The sequence below is a fragment of the Homo sapiens genome, chromosome 9 (genome assembly GCF_000001405.40).
Source record: "Homo sapiens chromosome 9, GRCh38.p14 Primary Assembly".
Classification (NCBI taxonomy): domain Eukaryota; kingdom Metazoa; phylum Chordata; class Mammalia; order Primates; family Hominidae; genus Homo; species Homo sapiens.
The window spans coordinates 6846422-6871986 of record NC_000009.12 but is presented as its reverse complement, the minus strand read 5'-3'; the positions used below and the strand labels follow the sequence as shown (position 1 = coordinate 6871986).

The 25565-nt window shown below is 40.8% G+C and overlaps 1 protein-coding gene across 21 annotated transcripts in view; it reads right to left on the bottom strand.

Moving 5' to 3' along the window:
- KDM4C (lysine demethylase 4C) overlaps positions 1 to 25565 on the bottom strand; it is a 454786-nt gene that overhangs the window by 303662 nt on the left and 125559 nt on the right. For 20 of the 21 annotated variants that reach the window (NR_148680.3, NR_148679.3, NR_148677.3 and 17 more), the window contains one exon: positions 22287 to 22480. The exons of the other annotated variant lie outside the window; for it this stretch is intronic. Coding sequence is in view for 11 of the 20 variants with exons in the window: in NM_001146696.2 (NP_001140168.1) it covers positions 22287 to 22480 (194 nt within the window). In the remaining 9 variants the exon portion in view is untranslated. The remainder of the gene's footprint in view (positions 1 to 22286; positions 22481 to 25565) is intronic. 21 annotated transcript variants of the gene reach the window in all.

Below are 25565 nucleotides of genomic sequence, written 5' to 3'. Positions count from 1 at the left end.
TGACCATTATAAATTTCAGCCATCTCATCCCTTTTCTTCCTCCCAGAGCCCTTCAATTGTATATTATGTAGTATTATATACTACTTCCCAAAGCAAGATGCTGCTCAATGTGCACACATCATTTTTGTCTTGATAGGTCTTGAGTTCTATGAGGTAGAAAAAGCCTACCACCACCCAGACATTTTAACATAAACTATCCATTTTCATCTACCTTGTAGAGTGCCTGCTCCACAGCCAGGCCCTAAATTATGGGACACAATTGCTCAGTTATGTAGCTAATTCCAAATTCTTTGAGGATAAGAATGTACTTTGCACCTTTTTTGTATACTTTGAAAACCATCAAATAAAATGCCTACCATTGTATATCCTCAAGTACATACTGGTTTGTTAAAATTAATAATTATTCATTTAAGCTTTGGGACAGTAGGGTTTTTCTTGAGCTATTCTGCATATTGCTCAAGTACTGCTAACACTAAAAAACTGAGTCACTAATGAACTATGAACACACTAATTAGATATTTACAGGATTATGTTGCATTTAAAACTGAAGTCTTTTATAAATTTTTTTTAAGATTTATTTTGAAGGCCAAGGAAAACAAAATTCCTTTAAACATATCTTCAGGTGATTTACTCAAAAATTAAACATAAACAGATATAGCCCTGCAGTTGTGAAACAAACACTACCTTGAACTGAATGAGATTAGGCCAACATTTCACAATAATAGTAAGTAAATCTATACTTATGAAAATCTACTTTCTCTAGTTCAAGTTTTCTCTAGGAACTGCCCTCTTCGTACTTCTTTCAAAATATGCTCAGTCCACTTACTTGTTTACCAGTACTTCTCAAAGACTAACTCCTACTTCTCAGATCACTCCCTCAAAATTCCCTATTGTTTTTTGGGAGCCCTGGGGCTGTGTGTTTAGGAACAAATGGTTTCTGTTGTCCCACTGCCCAGACGTCTGTCACAGGGCTGTCACAGGCAGCTGCCATAGGTCCCTCTGTCACTGTCACCAACAGGGGCTGCAGCACCTACAGATGTCCCAGCTTCCACTCACCTTGTGACATCCAGGACCACAGAGGGGAGAATTCCTTCCAGGCCCACGTCATGCTCAGGCAGGTCAGTCCTAAAACAAGCCTGCCCTATACTCCCTGCGCCTAACTAAGGCCGTGTGAAGTAGTCATTTCCTCCCTTATTTATGTTTCTGCTTGTTGTTGCTGTTTTGCTCACAATCATCCCCTGTGAAGAAGAAAGCCCAGTACCTCAAGGACAATTTTTTAACAGATAACAACCCCAAAATGATCCCCCGGCCCCATTCCTCGCATAAGCTTGTATGCCTGACTTGCCCTCTACCTTCACTAAAGTGTTCAAAAACACAGTGAAAAAGAAGAACTGACCAATAATATGATTACAGCTCATCACAGCCATCATTTATTGAGCACTGATAACACACCAGAGCTTATGCTAAGATGTTATAATACAAGTTCTACTACTACCTCCATTTAACTAATGAGGAAGCCAAAGCTTCCTTACAGGCATCTCTTCACTCAAGCAAAGTGATGACAGAGCTGGCACCTAACCCCAGACCTATCTTAACTCCAAAGTACAAGATCTACTCTCCAAACCCATTTTCCAACACTGTTTCCCCAACAATCACTATGAAGATGTCAAAAGGAAAGAAGTGACAGGGCCCATCTGTCCTCCAAGGGAAAAACCCCCCTTACAATGAACAAGCAAAAGACAATGGCATTTTAAATAAACCGCAGATACAAAGAACAAGACCAGCAAACCACTACCTGAAGTGGTTGTTTTTTTCAGGGGGGATGCAAGGGAGTTCTTGTTACAAAAACACTTTATGAATCAAAAAGTAAAGTATATTTCACAAAACTCAAAATTCCTGAAGTAGTTAATTTATAATACACTTTTTAATCAAAGCATACTCATAACCAATTGTCAAAAAGATTGAACCACTATGGATTTTATAGATGCGACTATGTTACATTTTCACATTACTTATGGTGCTAACAAGTTTTAATACTTGTGCATTTATTAAAGATTAAGCATTAAGTTTTAAATTATGAAGTCTTGTTAGTTAACTGTGGAAAGTAGAACATTGCATACTTAATTTTCAGTTCTTAAAAACAGATGAACGTGAGGAACAGAAAGCATGGCTATAGGGGATGCTGCAGGCAGGCTGCCAAGTCCCACTCCTGGCAAGGCCCTTGCTGCCTTCATGAGTTCAGGTTCCCTCCCCCAAGAACATACCCCTTGAAGAGGGAGGGAATGGCGGCCCACATGCAAGGGATGGTCCAGGCTTGAGTATAAAGGCTTGGCCATCTTGCCTGAATTTGGGGCAATTCTGAAGGGCAATGTCAGCTCCAGCACTGCCCTTAGGATCTGCCAGGACTCTGCTGGAGTTCACCTTCCCCTTCTGCCCAGTTCTGCCTCCCCCACTGTGAGCAGTATTATTCCTGGAGCACTATACAAGAAAGCCCTGGCACACAATCTCAGAGTGAACTCCCCAAGTAATCTAAGCTAAAACAGTAACAATAAACATGTTTGTAAAGAGGTGTCACTTAAATGCCAGTCCTCTTGCCTTGTAAGCTAGGCATCTAAGAGTACGGCCTGGAGAATGAGGTGCCTGAAATGAGGCCCTACAGAACCTGAGATTAAAAGCCCCTGAGAAAAGGAACTCAGCTAGAGCTCAGCCGCACCCTTAATGCCATTCATGGCCCATTTCCTGACATAACATTCAGATGAAAACCAGAAACCCTAGCAACCATATGTGCAGGCAGTCATAACTGTGGAAGCCACAGTGAGAAAAAATCCTTACAAGAAGGGAATAACTAAGCTTTGGAAAGTTGGGCAGTTCTTTTTAATCTGGAATTTCAAATACAATTCGATAACCATATACATGTAAATTAATTCCCCGAGCGATCAGAAAAATTAGTAAGTTACCATTACCTAACATCATTGTTATAAAATCTAGTAAGACAATGGCACAAAACTTGACTTTCAAGAAATAATATATTTTATATTACCTAGTCTACTGAATATTTTCTAAGTAGAAAATAATTTAGTGTTTTACACACTATTTTTCGTGAGAAAAAAGGTATTCTAAATTAGTTGATATCAACTCTGAACAACTTTTAAAAAGCTTTCCTGACCTCTCCAAAATACTCAACATATAATACATGCAGTAGTAAAGCGACTTTTCTAGTACAGTCAGCCCTCCACACCGAGAGTCCCACATCCATGGAGTCAACCAATCACAGATCAAAAATACGTGGAGGGGAAACGGTCGTGTCTGTACTGAACATGTACAAACTGTTTCTCTGGTCAGTATTCCCTAAACAATTCGGGATAACAACTATTTACATAGCATTAACATTGTATTAGGGCTTACAAGTAATCTAGAAATGATGTAAAGTATAGGGGAGGATGTGCATGGGTAACTACCACGCACTTTATATCAGGGACGTGAGCAGCCACAGGTTTTGGTATTGTGAATGGAACCTGGAACCAACAGTTCATGGATACTGAGGGGTGGCTCAAATCGGTGATCCAGTTAACCGATTTTCAAACTGCTTTTTATGGCACACCTCAAAGTTCCCAGGGTTTCCTGGGATGAATGCTATGTTACCTACGGAAACTCTCTTCACGTGAGGATATTTTCCTCAAGTTTCCTCACGTAGGACTGCCTGCACGTATGGTTGCTAGAGTGTCTCTAGTTCACCTAAACGTTCTGTCAGGAAATGGGCCACCAGTGGCGTAAGGGAGAGGCAAAGCTCGAGCTGAGTTCTTTCTCTCGGGGGGCTTTTTATCTGGTGTCTTCATAGGGCCTCAGCTCTACAAGGTGCCTCCAGGGAGGGTTTGGTGCGAGAAAGCTTCTCACCACACATTTCATCCATATCAGCTCTGCCTTATGTTTTCTGCTTTAAATATTGAGATTCTGCAGAAACTTTCATGTATAGAAAGTTTTGAAAATCTCTGTGTTAAAGCTTTTCCAAAGTAGGGACCTATCACAGAAAACATTCTTTCTGGTTGATACATAAGGGTTCTGTGTAAGATTTGGATTCCATGTAAGATTTTAATTCCACTGAAATTTTGCCCACAAGCGTTCTGCTACTGCAATAAAAGACAGTGGGGAAGTGCAGGGGAGGGGCTAAAAGCTTTGTGTGTCAACTGTTAGTAAGTTTCATAAGTAGAAGCCATTCTGTCAAGTTCACATGTTCATGGTATTATTGACACCTAGCTCAATACCTGACACAGGTGTGTGCTCAGTAAGTAATGAAGAAATTGGAAAAACATATAAAATCATAAATTACCAAACATAGATGCAATGTTTTGTAACAGCATCAAGCATTAATAAAACAGGGAAAGATGCCATTTCGAGAAGATTCTAAAATGTAAGAACACAAGAAGTTGACGATAAATGAAAAACATGCCCATATAAAGCTGTCTGCCCATATCAAAAATTTTCTGAAGCAAACTTTTCCCAACAAAAAATAATCTTACCTTATATAGGAATCTTCTGAGAACATTACTCTTTCCAAATGATCATTTATTCAAATATCAATTGTGGTTTCTGATACCAAAATGGTGCTATAGAAGCAAGCTGGATTCACTCCTCCCACAACCTTCACAGAAAACCAAAAACAAATATGCAGCACTGGCCGGGCGCAGCGGCTCACGCCTGTAATCCCAGCACTTTCAGAGGCCGAGGTGGGCGGATCACGAGGTCAGGAGATCAAGACCATCTTAGCCAACATGGTGAAACCCCGTCTCTACTAAAATACAAAAAATTAGCTGGGTGTGTAGGTGTGTGCCTGTAATCCCAGCTACTTGGGAGGTTGAGGCAGGGGAATTGCTTGAACCCGGCAGGCGGAGGTTGCAGTGAGCTGAGATCACACCACTGCACTCCAGCCTGGTGACAGAGCAAGATTCCATCTTCCAAAAAAAAAAAAAAATATATATATATATATATACACACACACACACACACACACACACACAAACATATATTTTTATATACACATATATACATTTTTACATACATTTTTCTATATATATATATATATATGTATATATATATACAGCACCAAGTCATCACCAGCAATTTCCTAGAACTCAAATATGAGGAGGAGTCAGATCCCAGAGAAGTAAAAAACTTCCAAGCAAATAGTAAGAGAATAAGAGACTTCTATATCCTCAGCACCCCTTCCTTTGATCTGCCTGAAGTCAAGTGTGCAGAAAATAAACCCCCCACTCACGGTTTCTACACTAGAATAGAGATCAGGGTGGACAACCAGCTTTCCCACCATTGTGGGTTTCCTAGGAGGACACTGTCCCTTCTTCAATCTGTAGGAAGCACTGGGAGTACCTGAAGAAAGAAATATCCCTCAAGACAGCCAGACACAAAGAGCGATGGCAGGAATACCATTCCCAGCCCTGGAAACTCAGCAATTCAGCCAACGGAGATGCCAAATCAGAGTGGCAGCTCAGCAGTGCTACACTGTAGGAGGTCTGTCCCACAGGTCTCCTGGGAATGAACCCCTAGCTAGCCCTCTCACACCCTTTGGAAAATACCCCATTCAGGACAGGGGGCACTCTGATCCTTTACTAGAGCTAAGGAAAACCTGGGCTGAAGGCACCATCTGGAACCAAAAAGGAAACAGTAACCTAGCAGAAAAAGAAAAGAAAAGAAAGAAAGAAGGGTCAAGAATATCCTTGGTAAATAAATCCAAGGTAAATTATAAGAATCTCTAAGTAGACATATTTAATAGTAACCAAAAAAAAAAAAGGATGGGTGCAGTGGCTCATGCCTGTAGTCCCAGCACGTTGGGAGGCCAAGGCAGGTGGATCACCTGAGGTCAGGAGTCCGAGACCAGCCTGTTCAACATGGTGAAACCCTGTCTCTAACTAAAAATACAAAAATTAGCTGGGTGGCCAGGCACGGTGAATCCCAGCACTCTGGGAGGCCGAGGCGGGCGGATCACAAGGTCAGGAGATCGAGACCATCCTGGCTAACACGGGGAAACCCTGTCTCTACTAAAAATACAAAAAATTAGCCAGGCATGGTGGTGGCGGGCGCCTGTAGTCCCAGCTACTCGGGAGGCTGAGGCAGGAGAATGGCGTGAACCCGGGAAGCAGAGCTTGCAGTGAGCAGAGATTGCGCCACTGCACTCCAGCCTGGGCGACAGAGCGAGACTCCGTCGCACAAAAAAAAAAATAAATAAAATAAATTAAAAAAAAATTAGCTAGGCATGGTGGCACATGCCTGTAATCCCAGCTACGGAGGGCTGAGGCAGCAGAATTGCTTGAAACTGGGAGGCGGAGGTTACAGTGAGCTGAGATCACGCCACTGAACTCCAGCCCAGGTGATAGACCAAGACTCTGTCTCAAAAAGAAAGAAAAAAGAAGAGAGAAGACTGAGATAAATAACTAAGCCTACAATAACGCAAAGTCATAGACATACATCCACAAGAAACAATAGCAAACAGGGAACCATGACCTTCTCAAATGGACAAAGCAAGAAACCTGTGACTGACTGGCCCTAATAACATAGCTATATGTAAGCTCTCTGATCAGGAATTCAAGATAGCACTTTCAAGGAAACCAGTAATCTCCAAGATAACACAGAAAAGGAGTTCAAGAATTTATCAAAGAAATTTAACAAAGACGGGGCACTTTGGCTCACGCTTGTAATCCCAAAACTTTGGGAGGCCAAGGCGGTCGGATCACGAGGTCAGGAGATCGAGACCATCCTGGCAAACACGGTGAAACCCCGTCTCTACTAAAAATACAAAAAATTAGCCAGGTGTGGTGGCGGGCACCTGCAGTCCCAGCTACTCGGGAGGCTGAAGCAGGAGAATTGCTTGAACCCGGGAGGCAGAGCTTGCAGTGAGCCGAGATCGCGTCACTGCACTCCAGCTTGGGCAATAGAGCAAGACTCTATCTCACAAAAAAAAAAAAAAAAGAAAGAAATTTAACAAAGAGATTGAAATAATTTTTAAAAAATCAAACAGAAATCTTGGGACTAAGAAATACATTTGCTGAACTAAAAAATTAATCAGAGGCTCTCAACAGCAGAATTGATCAAGCAGAGGAAAGAAACAGTAAGCTTGAAGACAGGCACATACATAGACACAGGAGAAAAAAAATAAATTAAAAAAAAAGATTGCCAACAAGATATAGAAAATTACCACTAAAGACCAAATCTAAGAATTACTTCTGTTCAAGGGGGAACTGAGCAAGAGCAAGGAGTAGAAAGCTTACTCAAAGAAATAACAACAGAAAACTTTCCAAAACTAGAAAAAGATAAATAAATAAAATAAATTTAAAAAAAAAAATTAGCTGGGCATGTTGGCACATGCCTGTAATCCCAGCTATGGAGGGCTGAGGCAGCAGAATTGCTTGAAACTGGGAGGCAGAGGTTACTGTGAGCCGAGATCACACCAGGTATAGAAAAGTTAGAGATCACCAAACAGATATGACCCAAATAAGATTACCCCAAGGCATATAATAAATTTCTCAAAGGTCAAAGATAAAGAAAGGATCTTAAAAACAGGAAGAGAAAAGAAGCAATGACATATAAAGGAACTCTATCTAACTGGCCTGGCAACAGATCTCTCAATGAAATCATATAGGCCAAGAAGTAGTGAGATGGCATTTTCAAAGTGCTGAAAAATGGGGATTGTCATCCAAGAATACTGAAACCAGCAAAGCTGTCCTTCAAACATAAAGGAGTGATAAAGTCCTTCCCAGATAAATGAAAGCTGAGAGAATTTGCCATCACCAGACCCATCTTACAAGAAATCTTAAAGGGAATTCTTCAATACGAAGCAGGGAGGGGAAAAAACCCACTAACATGCAAGAAGAAAACATTTAAAGATGCAAAACCCACTAAAATTAAGTACATGAACAAATTCAGAATACTCTATTACTGTAATAGTGGTATTGATATGGTTTGATATTTGACCCCTCTAAACCTCACGTTGAAAGCTGATCCTCAATGTTGGAGGTGGGGCCTAATGGGAGGTGTTTCCATCATGGGGGTGGATCACTCATGAATAGCTTGGTGCCATCTTCACGGTAATGGGTGAGTTCTCACTCCATTAGTTCCCATGAGCTGGCTGTTAAAAAGAGCCTGGCCCTCCCTTCCTTCTCTCTCTCTTTTTTTTTTTTTTTTTTTGAGATGGAGTCTCGCTGTGTCGCCCAGGCTGGAGGCAGTGGCAAGATCTCGGCTCACTGCAAGCTCTGCCTCCCAGGTTCACGCCATTCTCCTGCCTCAGCCTCTGAGTAGCTGGAACTACAGGCGCCCGCCACCACGCCTGGCTAATTTTTTGTATTTTTAGTAGAGACAAGGTTTCACCGTGTTAGCCAGGATGGTCTCGATCTCCTGACCTCGTGATCCGCCCACCTCCGCCTCCCAAAGTGCTGGGATTACAGCCGTGAGCCATGGTGCCCAGCCCCTTCTCTCTCTTACCATGTGATCTCTGTACATGCTGGCTTCCCTTCAACTTCCACCATGAATGGAAGCAACATGTGACCCTCACCAGATGCAGAAGCCTAATCCAGAACTTTTCTAAACATCAGAATTGTGAGCCAAATAAATCTTTTTTCTTTATAAATTACCCTGCCTCAGGTATTCCTTCATAGCTACACAAGGAAAGTCAGATGGAATCCACACATAACTCCAGTATGAAGCCCCAAAGAAAAACATCTCAAAAACAATAACTACAGCAACCTACTAAAAAGCAGGCAATATTAAAACATGTAAATTAAGAAAACAAAAAATCAAAACATGGGGTGGGGGGGAGTTAAAGCACAGGGTTTTTTTGTTTTTATTTTGTTTCTATTCTTTTCTGTATACGTTGTCACCTCTTTAAATATTTAAGGTAACAGATATCCCAGTTACCCTGATTTGATCTTTATATATTATATAAATGTGTACCCCAAAATAGGTATAACTATTATGTATCAATGAAAACAAATAAATAAATGATAATTACACCATCCATGAATAAGATAAAGTGGCTTAAAGGGGTCCATAAAAATTGGCTTATAAAGTTCCACCACAATGAACTCCAACAAAGTACTGAAGCATTTTCAAGATTTCCTATGATTGAATTTTTTTTTGTTTTTTGTTTGTTTGTTTGTTTGTTTGTTTGTTTGTTTTGAGACAAAGTCTCGCTCTGTCACCCATGCTGGAGTACAGTGGCGTGATCTCGGCTCACTGCATCCTCCTCCTCCCGGGATCAAGCAATTCTCCCACCTCAGCCTCCTGAGTAGCTGGGATTACAGGCACGTGCCTCCACACCTGGCTAATGTGTTTTTGTATTTTTAGTAGAGATGGGGTTTCACCATGTTGGCCAGGCTGGTCTCGAACTCCTGACCTCCGGTGATCCACCAACCTCAACCTCCTAAAGTGCTGGGATTACAGCTGTGAGCCACCACACCCAGCCTGAAGTTTAGCCTTTAAGGGAAAACTACCTGTACAGCTTCTTTACAGTTGGAAATCTCCTTGAGAATTAAGAGGCTTTCAAAAGTGCACTTTATTCAAAGCAACCAAACTACAAGTAACATGCAAACTGAAAAAAATACACAAAGCCTGAAATATTAAAATAAAAATAAACAGTAAATGGTCAAATGTTTCTGTTAAAATCAAACATTTCATAAGTAATGTTAATCTTCATTAGGTAGGCACAGTAAGATAACTTATCAGACATGAAGACAACAAAGGCAACCCAACTAATTCAAGTCCTTTCTCAAGTATAATATCTTCCCAAAAACCACTCAGTTTTTTAACCACACTTAAAGGAAAATTGTTAAATAAGTTTTCTGTCTCTGATTAGAAAATTATATTAGAGATCATACAATTGACTGCTATGTCCTCTCAGAAATACATATTGTAGGTCAGGCGCGTTGGCTCACACCTGTAATCCCAGCACTTTGGGAGGCCAAAGCAGGTGAATCACCTGAGGTCAGGAGTTCAAGACCAGCCTGGCCAACGCGGCAAAACCCCATCTCTACTAAAAATACAAAAATTAGCCAGGCATGGTGGCACATGCCTGTAGTCCCAGCTACTCGGAAGGCTGAGGCAGGAGAATCGCTTGGACCTGGGAGGCAGCAGTTACAGCCGAGATCACACCATTGCACTGCAGCCTGGGCAACAGAGCAAGACTCCATCTCGAGAAAAAAAAAAAAGAAAGAAAGAAATATATATTGTAAAGTAACTTTATGCATGAGTTCAAGAAACTTTATGCATGATTCCTCAAATAAGTAAATCCTCTATGAAGCCCACACAAATAATAAGTCACTGGGAGGAAGAGAGGAGGGGATAGATTCATGACAATTGGCTATATTAAGTTTGAGGTATGTTGTCTGTAGATTTCTCTTATGCAACAAATATAAATCTGTGATTATCACTGACAATCAAAATATGGTAGAGTGGCTGAACATTTCTAATAAGCAGTTTTCTATAATTCTAAAATTTCCTATATATCAGACTAGTTCTAATCAAGGCATCACACAGGATGCATGACTGTACTATTCTATAGGCTGACTTTGTAATATTTATCCCTAAGAAGCTAAAAGTATGTTAGATTAACAACAGCTGAAAGAAGCATGAAACTGCACATATCTATGACATACAAGTTGTGATACCTGGTCAACACACAAAAATAGGATACATGTACCACTGCTCTCAGGAAGTTGAATATCTCATGGGAGAGACAAGACCAAAATACACAAATTAATGAAGAGTTCTATGAGAACAGAACATAATAAAGTAGTAAAACTGACCATTAGAGCTATATAAATCACAAGAAAAAAGACCAATGTTGGTTCAAGTAGTGACCAAAAAAACTTACAAATTATAGATGTGTTAGTTTCAAGTCCAGTGCAGGGATTTATTTCCACCTACTGCCTGTGCCTTGGGTAAAAGTTATCAATCACTTGCTGGAAATGCTTTTACAATAACTTAAGCAAACATACATTTTTAATAACTGTAATATTATATATAGATATATTCCATCTTAAATATCCTCAGTTTTTCATTTTTGACACTTTTACAAAAAAGGAGTTAGTTGGGGTAAGTTAATCAACCTTCATAAGATTTTAAGCAAGGAGCCCAGACAATCTCAAAAAAGTATTCTCAATCTAGAGAAACACAATGTTGAGATCATTTTAACATGAATTAAAATACATTCCAAGTAACACATGGAAAAACACACTAACTTTAATGTAAAAACTATTTGCTCTGTACTACTGCAAGACTAAAGAGGACTGTGTTACAGCCTTCAGAAGCTGGGCTCAGACTCTATGTCTCTTCTCACAGTCCTAGCAAATCTTTTTTTGTTTGTTTACTTTTATTTTAGGATTGCAGGCATATGTGAAGGTTTGTTATACAGGTAAACTCATGTCATGGGGGTTGGTTGTAGGGATAATTTCATCACCCAGGTATTAAGCCTAGTACCCAGTAGTTATTTATCTGATAGGTTAGACAGATAAAGTACACTTAACTCCTGACAAGGACTGACTAGCTTCTGTCAATGTACTTTGCCAAAGGGGTCAGAATCTAAGTATAGTCTAATTAAAAATCACCAACTATTCCCTAGAGAGAAACAAAACCCTCCGTCAAGACATAACTCAATCCTTCAAATGTGGGGTTTTCTTTCTGACTTCAAGAATGTTTCCAAGTAACACATCTAAAGAAAGAACCTTAGGTGGCAAACAAACGGTGTTGGTTCAGACATTTCTCCTACCTACACCTCCAAACGCCCCCCCATCCCCATCACCTGTCAATTATCACAAGATTAGAATCTAGCCACATTACAGCCCTCTGAAAATCTTTCTTATGCCACAGTCTGGCCCCCCAAAATGAGGAGCACGTTTCTCTTTTAGTTCTGCATAAAATCTAATTAAAAGAAAGTTGATGGTGTAAAAAGAAACACAGGGAGGCTTTCTTCTTGCCTACTCCTTCATCTTTACTCTTTTCTTTTCTCCTTAAAGCTATAGGAAAAATCAGTTAATAGTCTGAATCCCAACTGCAAGACTTATTAATAACTAGATAAACCTTTAAGACTCTAAATAATTCTGAGTCTTTTTTTTTTTTTTTTTGAGACGGAGTCTCGCTGTGTCGCCCAGGCTGGAGTGCAGTGGCACGATCTCGGCTTGCTACAAGCTCCGCATCTCAGGTTCACGCCATTCTCTTGCCCCACCTCCCGAGTAGCTAGGACTACAGGCGCCTGCAACCACGCCCGGCTAAATTTTTTTTATTATTCTTAGTAGAGACGGGGTTTCACCATGTTACCCAGGATGGTTTCGATCTCCGGATCTCGCGATCTGCCCGCCTGGGCCTCCCAAAGTGCTGGATTACAGGCGTGAGCCACCGCGCCCAGCCAGTCCTCAGTTTTAAAATGGGGCAAAAAAAAAAAAAATCCACCTACTTGAGACATCTGTCGTCTGTGTTACCAGAGACGATTTCTTTTTTTTTTTTTTTTTTTTTTTTGAGACAGAGTCCCGCTCTGTCGCCAGGCTGGAGTGCAGTGGCGTGATATCAGCTCACTGTAACCTCCACCTTCCTGGTTCAAGTGATTCTCCTGCCTCAGCCTCCCGAGTAGCTGGGACTACAGGCGTGGGCCACTACGTCGAACTAATTTTTGTGTTTTAGCAGAGACAGGGTTTCACCACGTTGGCCAGGATGGTCTTGATCTCTTGACCTCGTGATCTGCCTGCCTCGGCCTCCCAAAGTGCTGGGATTATAGGCATGAACCACCGTACCCGGCCACCAGAGATGATTTCTAACAGTGATTAGTATGGTTCCTGGCAAACATCAAAGGACTTCACTAAATGAAATGGAGTCACCAAAGACAACACACTTTACAACCTTGTTCAAACCCTACTAACTAAAAAGCAAGCTTATAAAAAATGAACACATGTGCAGTAACAACGGAACATTTATAAATCTATTTGTAATCCTAGCTTTAGAAATGCAATCATGAAAAAAGCCACTTTCCTATATACTATGGGCAAATAACAATTTTTGCATAACAAATATTAAATTGCATGCATTTTCTACCAACTCCAATCTAAACAATGACATTAAGTAGTGTGTGAAAACAAAAAAAAAAAGAGATACCAAAAAAATGATAAAGCTGGGTAAAATAACTTGTTAACTACTAACATAGTAATTTTTTTTTTTTGCCGGGGGGGGAGACAAAATCACTCTGTCACCCAGGCTGGAGTGCAGTGACACGATGTTGGCTCACTGAAACCTCCACCTCCCAGGTGAAGCGATTCTCATGCTACAGCCTCTTGAGTAGCTGGGATTACAGGCGCACGTCACCACACCCGGCTAACTTTTCATATTTAGTAGACAGAGGGTTTTGCTATGTTGGCCAAGATGGTCTTGAACTCCTGGTCTCAAATGATCCGCCCACCTAGGCCTCCCAACCATGCCCAGCCCTAACACAGTAATTTGCGAGGTGAACAGCATTAATGCTTGCTTTCCATGAAGTACACAATAAAGAAAGTTGGGTAAACATTCTGGTTTTTCCCTAGAGTTATGGATTTAACAATTTCTTTTCATTTGAAGGGATGTCAATGTTGTAGGTGGTGGTGGTCGTGGTGGTGGTGGTGGTGTAACTAAAAGAGTAGCAAAAAAGATTCAGCAAGCATCCTAAGGGGAATTTACACGCCCTTACTGAGCAGTAATTCATTAATATGCAAATTTGGAACATTGCTAATAACAAAATAAGCAAAAGCAGGTAGAAAAGGGATTCTCACAATGGGTAAGATTTTGCCCTGAGTCTTCTGTTTCTTCAATTCATTCCTTTAAATCTACCATCAATATAGCAGGTTACTGCCAGGCATAGTGGCTCAAACCTGTAATCCAGGACTTTGGGAAGCCAAGGCAGGAAGAGTGCTTGAGCTTAGGAGTTTGAGGCTACAATGAGCTATGACTGACTGCGTGGGTAGACTGCCTTAGCTCAGGAGTTCCAGGCCAGCCTGGGCAACATAGCAAAACCCCATCTCTAAAAAAAAAAAAAAAAAAAAAAAACTTAGCCAGATGTGTTAACATGCACCTGTAGTCCTAGCTACTCAGGAGGCTGAGGTGGGAGGATCGCTTGAGCCCGGGAGGCAGAGGTTGCAGTGAGCCAAGATTGCACCACTGCACTCCAATCTGAGCAACAGAGCGAGACCCTGTCTTAAAAAAAAAAAAAAAAAGTACAGCTGGCTACTCTGGAAAACTATTTGCTTTGCACGTTGACTGACATTATTAGGATTAGTTCCAGTTCATAATTTCATCATCAAAGTACCAACGTTAAACTTGATCGGTAACAATCCAGTTACCAATCAATTAATTAGTAAAATCTCAACACTTCAGGAAAAAAGAGTGAGACTTTCCAACTCACAAACACTAGATATCCTGGATGGTTCCTTTAGGGAATTCTGTGCTGAGCAGTGGTCCACAGAGATCAATGTTTTGGGGCTGCAAGCAAGTGGGTGTGTGCTAGAGTGGTATGTGATCCACTTGATCAATAAATATTTTACTACCAGTTAGCACTGTATTCTCTTCTTCTTACAAATATAGCTAGCAGCTATGTACAAAGCTAATACCATACTTTTTGGTATATTTCCAACACTTTTTAAATTTTATTAGCAATATTATCTTTTCTGTTTTGGGGTTTGTTTTTGTTTGTTTTGTTTTTGGTAGATACAGGGTGTCCCTATGTTAACCAGGTTGGTTTCGAACCCCTGGGCTTGAGCAATCCTTCTGCCTTGGCCTCCCAAAGTAACAATACTATCTTTGAAACATACAATGGCCAGGCATGGTGGCTCATGCCTATAATCCCAGGACTTCGGGGGGCCAAGGCAGGAGGATTGATTGAGCCCTGGAGTGTAAAACCAGCCTAGGAAGGCTCAACATAGGAAGATCCCATCTCTACAAAAATACAAAAATTATGGGAGGCCGAGGCGGATGGATCATGAGGTCAGGAGATCGAGACCATCCTGGCTAACACGGTGAAACCCCGTCTCTACTAAAAATACAAAAAATTAGCCGGGCGCGGTGGCGGGCGCCTGTAGTCCCAGCTACTCGGGAGGCTGAGGCAGGAGAATGGCGTGAACCCGGGAAGCGGAGCTTGCAGTGAGCCGAGATTGCGCCACTGCAGTCCGCAGTCCGGCCTGGGCGACAGAGCGAGACTCCGTCTCAAAAAAAAAAAAAAAAAAAAATACAAAAATTAGCCTGGCATAGTGGCACACACCTGTAGTCCCAGCTACCTGGGAGGCTGAAGTGGGAGGATCACTTGAGCCCAGGAGGTTGTGGCTGCAGTTAGCCATCATCGCAACACCGCATTCAGCCCGGGAAACAGAGTGAGACTCTGTCTCAAAAAAAAATACACACACACACACACACACACACACACACACACACACACACGCACACAGAGAGAGATATGCCTAAAACTAATCAATAACCTATGCGGTTAATTTTATTACTTCAACTTAAGAGTATTTCTAAAAGTATTTTCTTATGTAAAGGGCAAATTTCTCTAGAAAAAGCAATTAAAACCAAAATGAACCATGGTTAATTCTAAGTGCATTTTTTCTAGACAAAATAGCAAAATAATGCAGCTTTACACCATCCAGTAAGTCTTAACATTTGAAATTAGAACATATTACTGGGTCTAAAGTTACTAAATAGAAAAATTAACAAGTATGAGTTATTACCATGGGCTGCTAATTCAATGGATCACTAAATACTATCAAGCTGCCTAATCCCTAATGTTCTTAGATTTTTTTTTTTTTGATCTTCAAATAAAGAGTTCCTTCAGTAAGACTGTTCACTGAGCAAATGTTTACTGAGTACCTACCAAGTGCCAGGCTCATGCCAAATGCTGTGCCAGGCACTAGAGGCATGCTAGTTAAAAGACTGGTGGGGCCAGGAATGGTGACTCACGCCTATAATCCCAGCACTTTGGGAGGCAGACACAATAGGACCACTTGAACCCAGGAGTTCATGGCCAGCCTGGGCAACCCAGCGAGACCCCATCTCTATAAAAAAGAAAATTTAAACCACATAATAAATGAATGAACGAATGAATGAATGAATAGTGGGGCTCCCCAACTCCCAGAGCTCACATTTTAATGGAGATGTACATTAAACAAGCTTAGATCAATTTGGCACCATATAACTTGCTCATTCTTTTAAAAAGTAAGACTTGAATTATATAATTCAACAATAATCAAGTAATTAGTTGTAAGTAAGCAGCTTCTCTCTTCTAGACCAAAGGGAGAAAGAAGGAATGGAGAGGAGAAAGGACAGGAAGAGATAGGGGTAAGGTGAATAGAAGAGAGTGGAGGGAGGGAGAAATAAAGGGAAAGGCTGAGACAGACATCCAATGGGAGCATCTGATTTCCTAGACTGAGCCATGCCTCTGGTTTATCCCAACTACAAACACTGGGAAAAATCCGTTATACTTAAATTGGGTTCCTTTTTTTTTTTTTTTTTTTTTTTTTTTGAGACGGAGTCTCACTGTGTTCCCCAGGCTGGAGTGCAGTGACGCAATCTCGGCTCACCACAACCTCTGCCTCCTGGGTTCAAGTGATTCTCCTGCCTCAGCCTCCCGAGTAGCTGGGACTACAGTCATGCACCACCATGCCCAGCTAATTTTTGTATTTTTAGTACAGATGCGGTTTCACTATGTTGGCCAGGCTAGTCTCGAACTCCTGACCTCGTGATCTGCCCGCCTCAGCCTCCCAAAGTGCTGGGATTACAGGCATGAGCCTCAGCGCCTGGCTGTCATTTATAACCAAGAACACTTATTAATACAAATTTATGAAGTTCATGTTTAAAACACTTCATGCCATGTATACATACAACATATATTTGCTAAATGAATGTATGAAACGTTAACATCTATTGAGCACTGTGTTACATCTCCAGCTGTGATATGTACTTTGTACATAGCATGTTATTTAATCCACACAATTGCCTTACAAGGTGGGTGCCAAAACCATCTGAGTATTTTAGGAGAGAAAATTGAGGCATGGAGGTTATTTAATAATTGCCCAAGGTCACATGCTCAGTAAAGAGTAAAGAGTTTTGCAAAACTCAAGACTGACACAAAAACCTGTGCTGGTAAGTACTACACAACACTGATCAAAAGTTCTAATGAGAAAGCATTGAACTAATGTGTATCTATCCTGAATAATTGGATACTTCTTAACTGCTACACAGTATTTTAACAAAATCTCAGTTTACTGAATGAAATTTAACAATGTCCAAAATGCTACAACCCATTCTTAATTTTCTAAAAACCTTCAGGAAAACCTTTCCTGATTTTAGACCTTTTCACAGCTTAAAACACATCCTCTTACACCTTATCTCCCTTGTTCTCTACAGAGTAAATTTGAAAGTTAGTTTTTTTTTTGTTTTTTTTTTTTTTTTTTTTGAGACGGAGTTTCGCTCTTGTTGCCCAGGCTGGAGTGCAATGGCGCGATCTCAGCTCACCTCAACCTCCGCCTCCCAGATTCAAGCAATTCTCCTTCCTCAGTCTCCCGAGTAGCTGGGATTACAGGCATGTACCACCACACCCGGCTAATTTTGTATTTTTAGTAGAGACGGGGTTTCTTCATGTTGAGGCTGGTCTCGAGCTCCTGACCTCAGGTGATCCGCCCGCCTCGGCCTCCCAAAGTGCTGGGATTACAGGCGTGAGCCACCGCACCCAGTCGAAAGTTTCTTATTCATTTTGTTTGTACCCAGTCTGGGAAAGAAAGACTCAAGATACCATCTGAATTCTATATCCTCTAGCAGTTAAGCACTCACACAAGAGGCTTGGAAGGGAGAATCACATTTTTTTTTAATCACTGAAACTCCTATTCTATTATAAATACATACATTATGGCCAAGTTCAGACTTTAAGTAACTACTATGACTAAAAAAAAATTATTTTCATGGTTATTAAAATAATAGTAATTATGAGTATTTGTATAATACTTTACAGTTTACAAAGCATTTATACACAGTATATACCTGGACCCTCCTAGATATCCCTTAAGTAGACAGAGAATAAATCATGCCTCCATTTGGCAGTGAAAGAAACTCATGATGAAAGGAGTGTAGTGATTTGCCCTAAGTCATTCCCAGTAAGTGACAGATTGGGGTTTTAAAACAGGACTTCTGGCTCCAAAGTCAATATTCATTCCAAGAAAATAATACTTTACCACTGACTGTCAAAGCAGTTTTCTATCTGCTTACTCTAAGGATACTTTTCCCCCTAAACCTTCAACCAGAAATGTTCAAATAAATCATCAGCTGCTTTGAAGTCTCTTCAGTACAAACCTGTGTTCATGAACACTTACTCCGCAAACCTGCCACACACGGTAGCTAGAAATGTATGTCTCCTATGTATAGCAACTCAGGAAACTTAGTATTCTTAATAGTTACCTTTTAGGCTTTTATTTTTATTTATTTTTTTATTCTTTGAGACAGTGTCTCCCTCCGTTGTCCAGGCTGGAATGCAGTGGCACCACCTCGGATCACTGCAGCCTTGACCTCCCCGGGCTCAGGTCATCCTCTCACCTCAGCCTTCCGATCAGCTGGGGCTACAGGCGTGAGCCACTATGACCGGCTAATTTTCTTATTTTTTTTTTTTGTAGAAACAGTTTTGCCATGTTGCCCAGGCTGGTCTTGAACTCCTGGGCTCAAGTGATCCGCCTACCTTGGCCTCCCAAAGTGCTGGGATTATAGGCATGAGCAACCGCACCTGGGCTAGAAAAGAATCTTTTTTATTAAAAGTTTCCATGCCTGCCCTTAAAGAGATGGATCTAAAATAATTTAACACTCTTCTAATTCAATACAACAATTCTTTACAGGGCATCGCTCCTATAGCCAGGCCCTGTGTGTTAAGTGCTGATGATTCAAAGGTGAAAAAAAAACACACACAAAAAAAACAAAACCATGGACCTTAACTTCAAGGCACACACAGGCAAGCTGGAGGATGGTCGGGGAGAAAGGAGGTGGGAAAATGAGGGAGATGGCAGGAGGGGTGGCCACAACCAGTTGTAAGATGCCAAAACAATGTCTAAAGTAGGGGCAGCACATAGTCCAGAGAGTCTTTAAGCAAACCCTAAGTGAAACATGGACAGATGAGAGCAGCATGGGCCCGTAAGTAAGGAGGGAATCGTAGGCAGTCTTTGCAATAATCCCATCCAGAGCCTGGTACCTGGAGGTAGAATTCAAGAGGAAGGAGTAGACTTGAAATGCCAACCTATAAGGTCAGAGACAGAAGAGAAAACAATATAGTGACAGATATGTCAAGCACAGGAGAGGCCACCCACTAGAGAAAAGTAAAGGCAACCATCCCATACTGAAGGGGAGATACAGCTCAACAAGGAGAGGACAGGCAGAAGAGGACGCTGGTGCACACGCACCCACATGTGCATACAGAACCTTGCAGCCCTTCATCCTCTCGTTTTGTCAACTCAATAAAAATATTCCTGTGACTCTGATCATGAGTCACAGAATCAGAATGACTGGAGGTCATTCTGGCTAACCTTGTGACTTGGGGGAGTGAAGGAACTGGAGTCCAGACAAGCAGAGTTATTTGCCCAAAGCCACATGCACTAGTGCATAATAAAGACTACAGCCCTGATTACTGGGCCCTCGTGTCCTAAGCTCTGCCAAACCGCCTGCCTCCAAATACTTCCATGAATTTGTGTTGCTTCTAACATCTTTCAAAGCTCACCTCAAATATATTATAAGGATTGCTAAAATGAATTTTAATAATGACAAAGTTTACCTCAAAATTATTTATGCTGAGGAAATGTAATATTTCATACATCTACTAGAAAATATCTGTAGGGGCATTTATAACACTCTCTTCCTACAGTAGTTATCTTAGGAAATAGTATGTAGAATCAGTGTTACAACTCACTACTACATTTTATTATTTTATCATTATAAACAATGGCCAAGGTTAAGGATAATAGTGACAGTATAAATCTACTCTTAATGCGTCTGATGGAGGCTGTATACTTAATAACTAATAGAGTAATTAACTACTGCACATATACAAGCTGCAAGAAAGAAATACTTTGAAAATGGGCATAATTATTCTCACTCATGATTAGTGATGCTCTTTCCCAAAGACACAAGACACCAGAATCCATCTTAGCCCTGACCAGAATATTCTTCCTGAAGTGATCATTAGGAGACAACATCAACCTGTTCCCAGGAGAAGACAAGACAGCCATCTTTCTTAATTAGAAAGCAGACACTTCATTTAAACTTTCCTAATACTGAAAACTCAAATTAACGTCCCAGGCATCCTCATTTATTAATTCCTTAACAAATCCCCAGAAAAGTTTTGCTACTAACTTTTCAGATTTCTTAAGCAAGACATAGTATGTAGTTGCCTACATACTAGATTTTATTAACATGTTGAATTCACCCATTTCATTCAATTTTATCCACACTTTAAGTGAATGTCAGAAAGAGCATCAAGATAACAAAGCAGCTGAGAAACTGTCCAGGAGCCTAACCATTGTTGAAAATATTTCTCCTAGTCTCTCCAAGCTAAGTTCTGAAAAAACTAAAAGATGACATTCCAACAAACTTTACAGTAATGCTGTACAAACACAACAGAGATCCCTGTCCTTAAGCATGTGCTCAAACCAGGCCCACAAATAACACCTGAGTGCTGGGTGCAGTGGCTCACACCTGTAATCCCAGCACTTTGGGAGGTTGAGGCAGCAGGATCACTTGAGCCCAGGAGGTCAGCACCGGCCTGGACAACACACTAAGACTCCATCTCTACAAAAAGTAATAACAAATAAACATCTGAGTAATGAATAATCCGATCACATTCTCTTGTCACTGGAGCCTGTATGAGTCCTAGACCACCTATTAAAAAGTTTCATTTGGCCAGGCGTGGTGGCTCACGCCTGTAATTTCAGCACTTTGGGAGGCCAAGGAGGGTGGCTCACCTGAGGTCAAGAGTTCGAGACCAGCCTGGCCAACATGGTGAAACCCCATCTCTACTAAAAATACAAAAATTAGCCAGGCGTGGTGGCACACGCCTGTCATCCCAGCTACTCGGGAGGCTGAGGCAGGAGAATCGCTTGAACCTAGGAGGTGGAGGTTGCAGTGAGCCGAGATCGCACCACTGCACTCCAGCCTGGGCAACAGAGTGAGACCCTGTCTCGAAAAAATAAATAAATAGAAATAAAAAATAAAAAATACATTGGCTGGGTGTGGTGGCTCATGCCTGTAATCCTACCACTTTGAGAGGCCAAGGTGGGCAGACTGCCTGAGCTCAGGAGTTCAAGACCAGCCTGGGCAACATGGTGAAACCCTGTCTCTACTAAAATACAAAAAATTAGCTGGGCCTCTAATCCCAGATACTTGGGTGGCTAAGGCAGCAGAATTGCTTGAACCCAGGAAGCGGAGGTTGCAGTGAGCCAAGATCGCGCCACTGCACTCCAGCTTGGGCGACAGAGCAAGACTTCATCTCAAAAAAAAATAAAATAAAATAAAAATAATTAGAGGAGGATGAACCAGAAGATCATGAAGATGGTTTGAAACTACACCCAGGAAGTCAGCTCTTCACTCCTAACTACCTCCTACATACCATCCAACAAATGCTCAAAGTAAAGATGCCCAATAAATTCTTGAAGCCTAAAATATTTATCAATTCATGGTTCACAAAATGGACTACAGGCAACTTTACATATACAGTCATGCATCACTTAATAACAGTGATAGTTTCTGAGAAATATGTTGTTAGGCAATTTCGCCATTGTGTGAACATCATGGAGTGGACTTACACAAATCTAGATAGTGGATCTACTACAGACCTAGGCTATATGGCATAGCTTATTGCTTCTAGGCTACAAACCTGTACTGAACTAAATATTGTAGGCAATTTTAACACAAAGTATTTAGCTACAAAGTATTCATTTAGCTAAACATATCTAAACATGGAAAAAGAATTTTTCAATTGCATTATAAACTCAGGATGACCGTTGTATCTGTGGTCCATCATTGATCTAAACATTGTTATACAGTGCATGACTGTACGAGTTACCATGGGGTTTATGGTTTCCAAGCACAATCCCAGACAGAATAGAAGACAATTAACTATTACAGTCAAAAACTTCCTTACAGCTCACATAAATCTGAATCCACCAAATCAAAGAACAAAATCCTCTTCAATATGTGCCTGATGCCCAAATTTCAAAACTCCAAAGTAAATGAATATTAAACAAGTAACTTGCCAAGACTTGGGCTCTCCAAAGTGGAGATAATTAATGCTATAGAGGTCCATGTCTTCGGTGTGCCATGCAAACGTGGTCTTCCACATGCCAAAATAGAGATATGGGGTATTTACACCCTCAATAGAAATGCCACACTCTTCTTCAACCACATCCAAGACTGTATTGAGGCGAGCTATGTTCCATTCATCCACACCCTGGAATGAGAGAGAAAAAAAGAGAGAGAAATCAAATCTTACTAAACCATGAAAGATAGCATTTACTAATCAAACCACTATCCACCAAAATTATTACATTGTATATTCTAACTAACTGAAAACTGAAAAATAAAACAACTCTTATTCAAGAGCCACATACATATGTCCATTATTATTGGTCAAAGATTACTACCAGCATAATGTGGTTCCATACAACTATCTGGTAGAAATTTATACCAAATAGCTTCCTGATGCCAAATGGAAATGAAAGTTACAGACCCACTCCCAACTTGGCTGTCAGCAAAAAATTACTGATTCAAAGTAGATGATCCGGCATGTGCTCTCCCTCCTTGGCACACCTTTTTGTTTTTGGGGTTTTGAGATTTGGGTTTTCTTGGGATTTTTTTGCACATTAGTTTAGAGGTAATATTCACCATCACATATCACATCAAGAAACCAACAGCAAAATATATCTTCTGCTATCTCTCTCCCATCCCTATCCATTCAATCTTAGCATGTAATACATTGTTTCCTTAAAGTTCCACTCTAATTATTGGAAAAACTCTTGGCAGTATCCACTGATCACTGTGCTTCTACTGATGCTTCAAATAAATATTTACCTCTTATGTTAATGGAAAAATTTAAACACATAATGCCTATTAAAAATACTTATCCCAACTTTGGTAAAACTGCTGGAATAATGTAGTTTTATAACAGTATAACAATATGGATGGTGATGGCAGAGCGAGGGAAGGTTAGAGTCACTACTATAAGAGTTAAGGTGATAGGAAAAGATTCTGGTTTGATTAGAACTTAACAATCATTTTTTTTTTTTCCCCTGAGACAGTCTCACTCTGTCGCCCAGGCTGGAGTGCAGTGGTGCAATCTCAGCTCACCGCAACCTCTACCTCCCAGGTTCGAGCAATTCTTATGCCTCAGCCTTCCACACAGCTGGACCTACAGGCGTAGGCCACCGCACCCACCTAATGTTTCGTATTTTGAGTAGAGACAGGAGTTTCGCCATGTTGCCTAGGCTGGTCTCGAACTCCTGGCCTCAAGTGACCTGCCCACCTCGGCCTCCCAAAGTGCTGAGATTACAAGCGTGAGCCACCACACCCGGCCAATCACTCATGAATTGACTACAGTTCACAACTGCTTAGAAATTTTTACAAACTATGCATTTTTACCATATATTTTTATCAAATTCTAAATATCAGAGACTAGGCATGTTCCTGTGTAATCATGGGGAAACTGAAATGCCTTTAAAGCCATTCCAACCTTTTCGTGCTAATGCACTATTAGAGAAGCGCATTGGCCAGGTGCAGTGGCTCACGCCTGTAATCCCAGCACTTTGGGAGGCTGAGGAAAGCAGATCACTTGAGCCCAGGAGCTCAAGACCAGCCTGGGAAACATGGCAAGACCCCATGTCTATTTTAAAAATAAAAAATTGAGGGTATTAAATTCATCTATGTCTACCAAAATTGTCCTCTCCAATAACTATACCAATGGCTTCACATACAACCACTTCTAACATTTCCTGAACACACTAAAAGCTTTTAGAGTTGTTCTGTTTTCATTTTGGTCTTTAAATGATTTTCTAATCAGTGTGTTAATCTTACTGTCTAAAGCTTTGGGGTTAAAAAACTATTGATGAAGCAGCTAATGAAACTCTGACTCAGGTAACATAACTGAACATGCCAAAGGACATAATTTAATTCCCAAATTCTCTTAAGTAGCCACTCTATCTACAACTTAGGCCACACGCTGAGAAGCTTGTTATTTGGAAACTGGTCAAAGTATCCGTTTAGAGAAGATCCGGCCGGGCGCGGAGACTCACGCCTGTAATCCCAGCACTTTGGGAGGCCGAGGCGGGTGGATCATGAGGTCAGGAGATCGAGACCATCCTGGCTAACACGGTGAAACCCTGTCTCTACTAAAAATACAAAAAATTAGCCAGGCCTGGTGGCGGGCGTCTGTAGTCCCAGCCACTCGGGAGGCTGAGGCAGGAGAACGGCCCCGGGAGGTGTTTGCAGTGAGCCGAGATCGTGCCACTGCACTCCAGCCTGGGCGACAGAGCAAGACTCCGTCTCAAAAAAAAAACAAAAAAAGAGAAGATCCTAGGTTCCAACTTTTCAGACCTCATAGAAGTTCAATCACATTATGTAAAATATTTTATCTCATTCTATTTATAGCGATGCAATCTCTTAACTCTAGTCCAATCAGACTTCAGTCCAATCACTCTAATAATAGAGTCCTATTTAAAAGTCATTAGTGAAGCAATGAATCTGAAGTAATAAATGAGCACCATATTATAGGAACCATTTTTAAACTGAATGAGCTTGCAAATTTAGACACAAACTATTTCTCTAAAATTCCTACATATGGAGACATCTAAGTTTTATTTCTGACTGACACTATCTTTTAAAAATAACCAGGGTTGAATCCCTTGACATCCTAGACCCATGGTATGAGGGGAAGAGGGTAGAGATCAAATAGTGCTGGACAAAAAGACCTAGATTATAACCCCAGCTCTGCAGGTCACTGAGGGGAAAATCACGGAGCTTTTCTGAGCGTCAAGTCTTTCTTCATGGAAACACAAGGGTTCTTGTACCCTCCTAGAGTTGCTCGGAGCACTAAATAAGCTAATGAAAATAAACTTTAATAAAATAAAATTTAATTATTAGAACTGATATAATAAATATCACCACTATTCTCTAGCAAATCTTACTGGAAAGCCTCCCAAAAAACAAGTCAAGCATGTGAGAAGTGATTATTTAATAAAATGTGTTTAAATTCACTACTGAATTTCTCCCCGTTAATGGGCAAATAACATATTTGCAGCAGTTTCTTCTCAGCAAGGCAAGGTTGCTAAAAAGTAATTTATTTTGCTAAAATAAAAAGTCATATAATTTCAATTAAGCAGTTGTGCAAATATTAAGAATAACCAACAGAGATAAATCTTATTGTTTCAAAATTCTTTCTCCAATTTTTGTTCTCTACTATTAAACTAGCTATCTGACTCCAAAAACAGGCTCCACAAAGGCTCTTCTGAACAGTACCAGGTCTGTCTCATATACTTAGACCA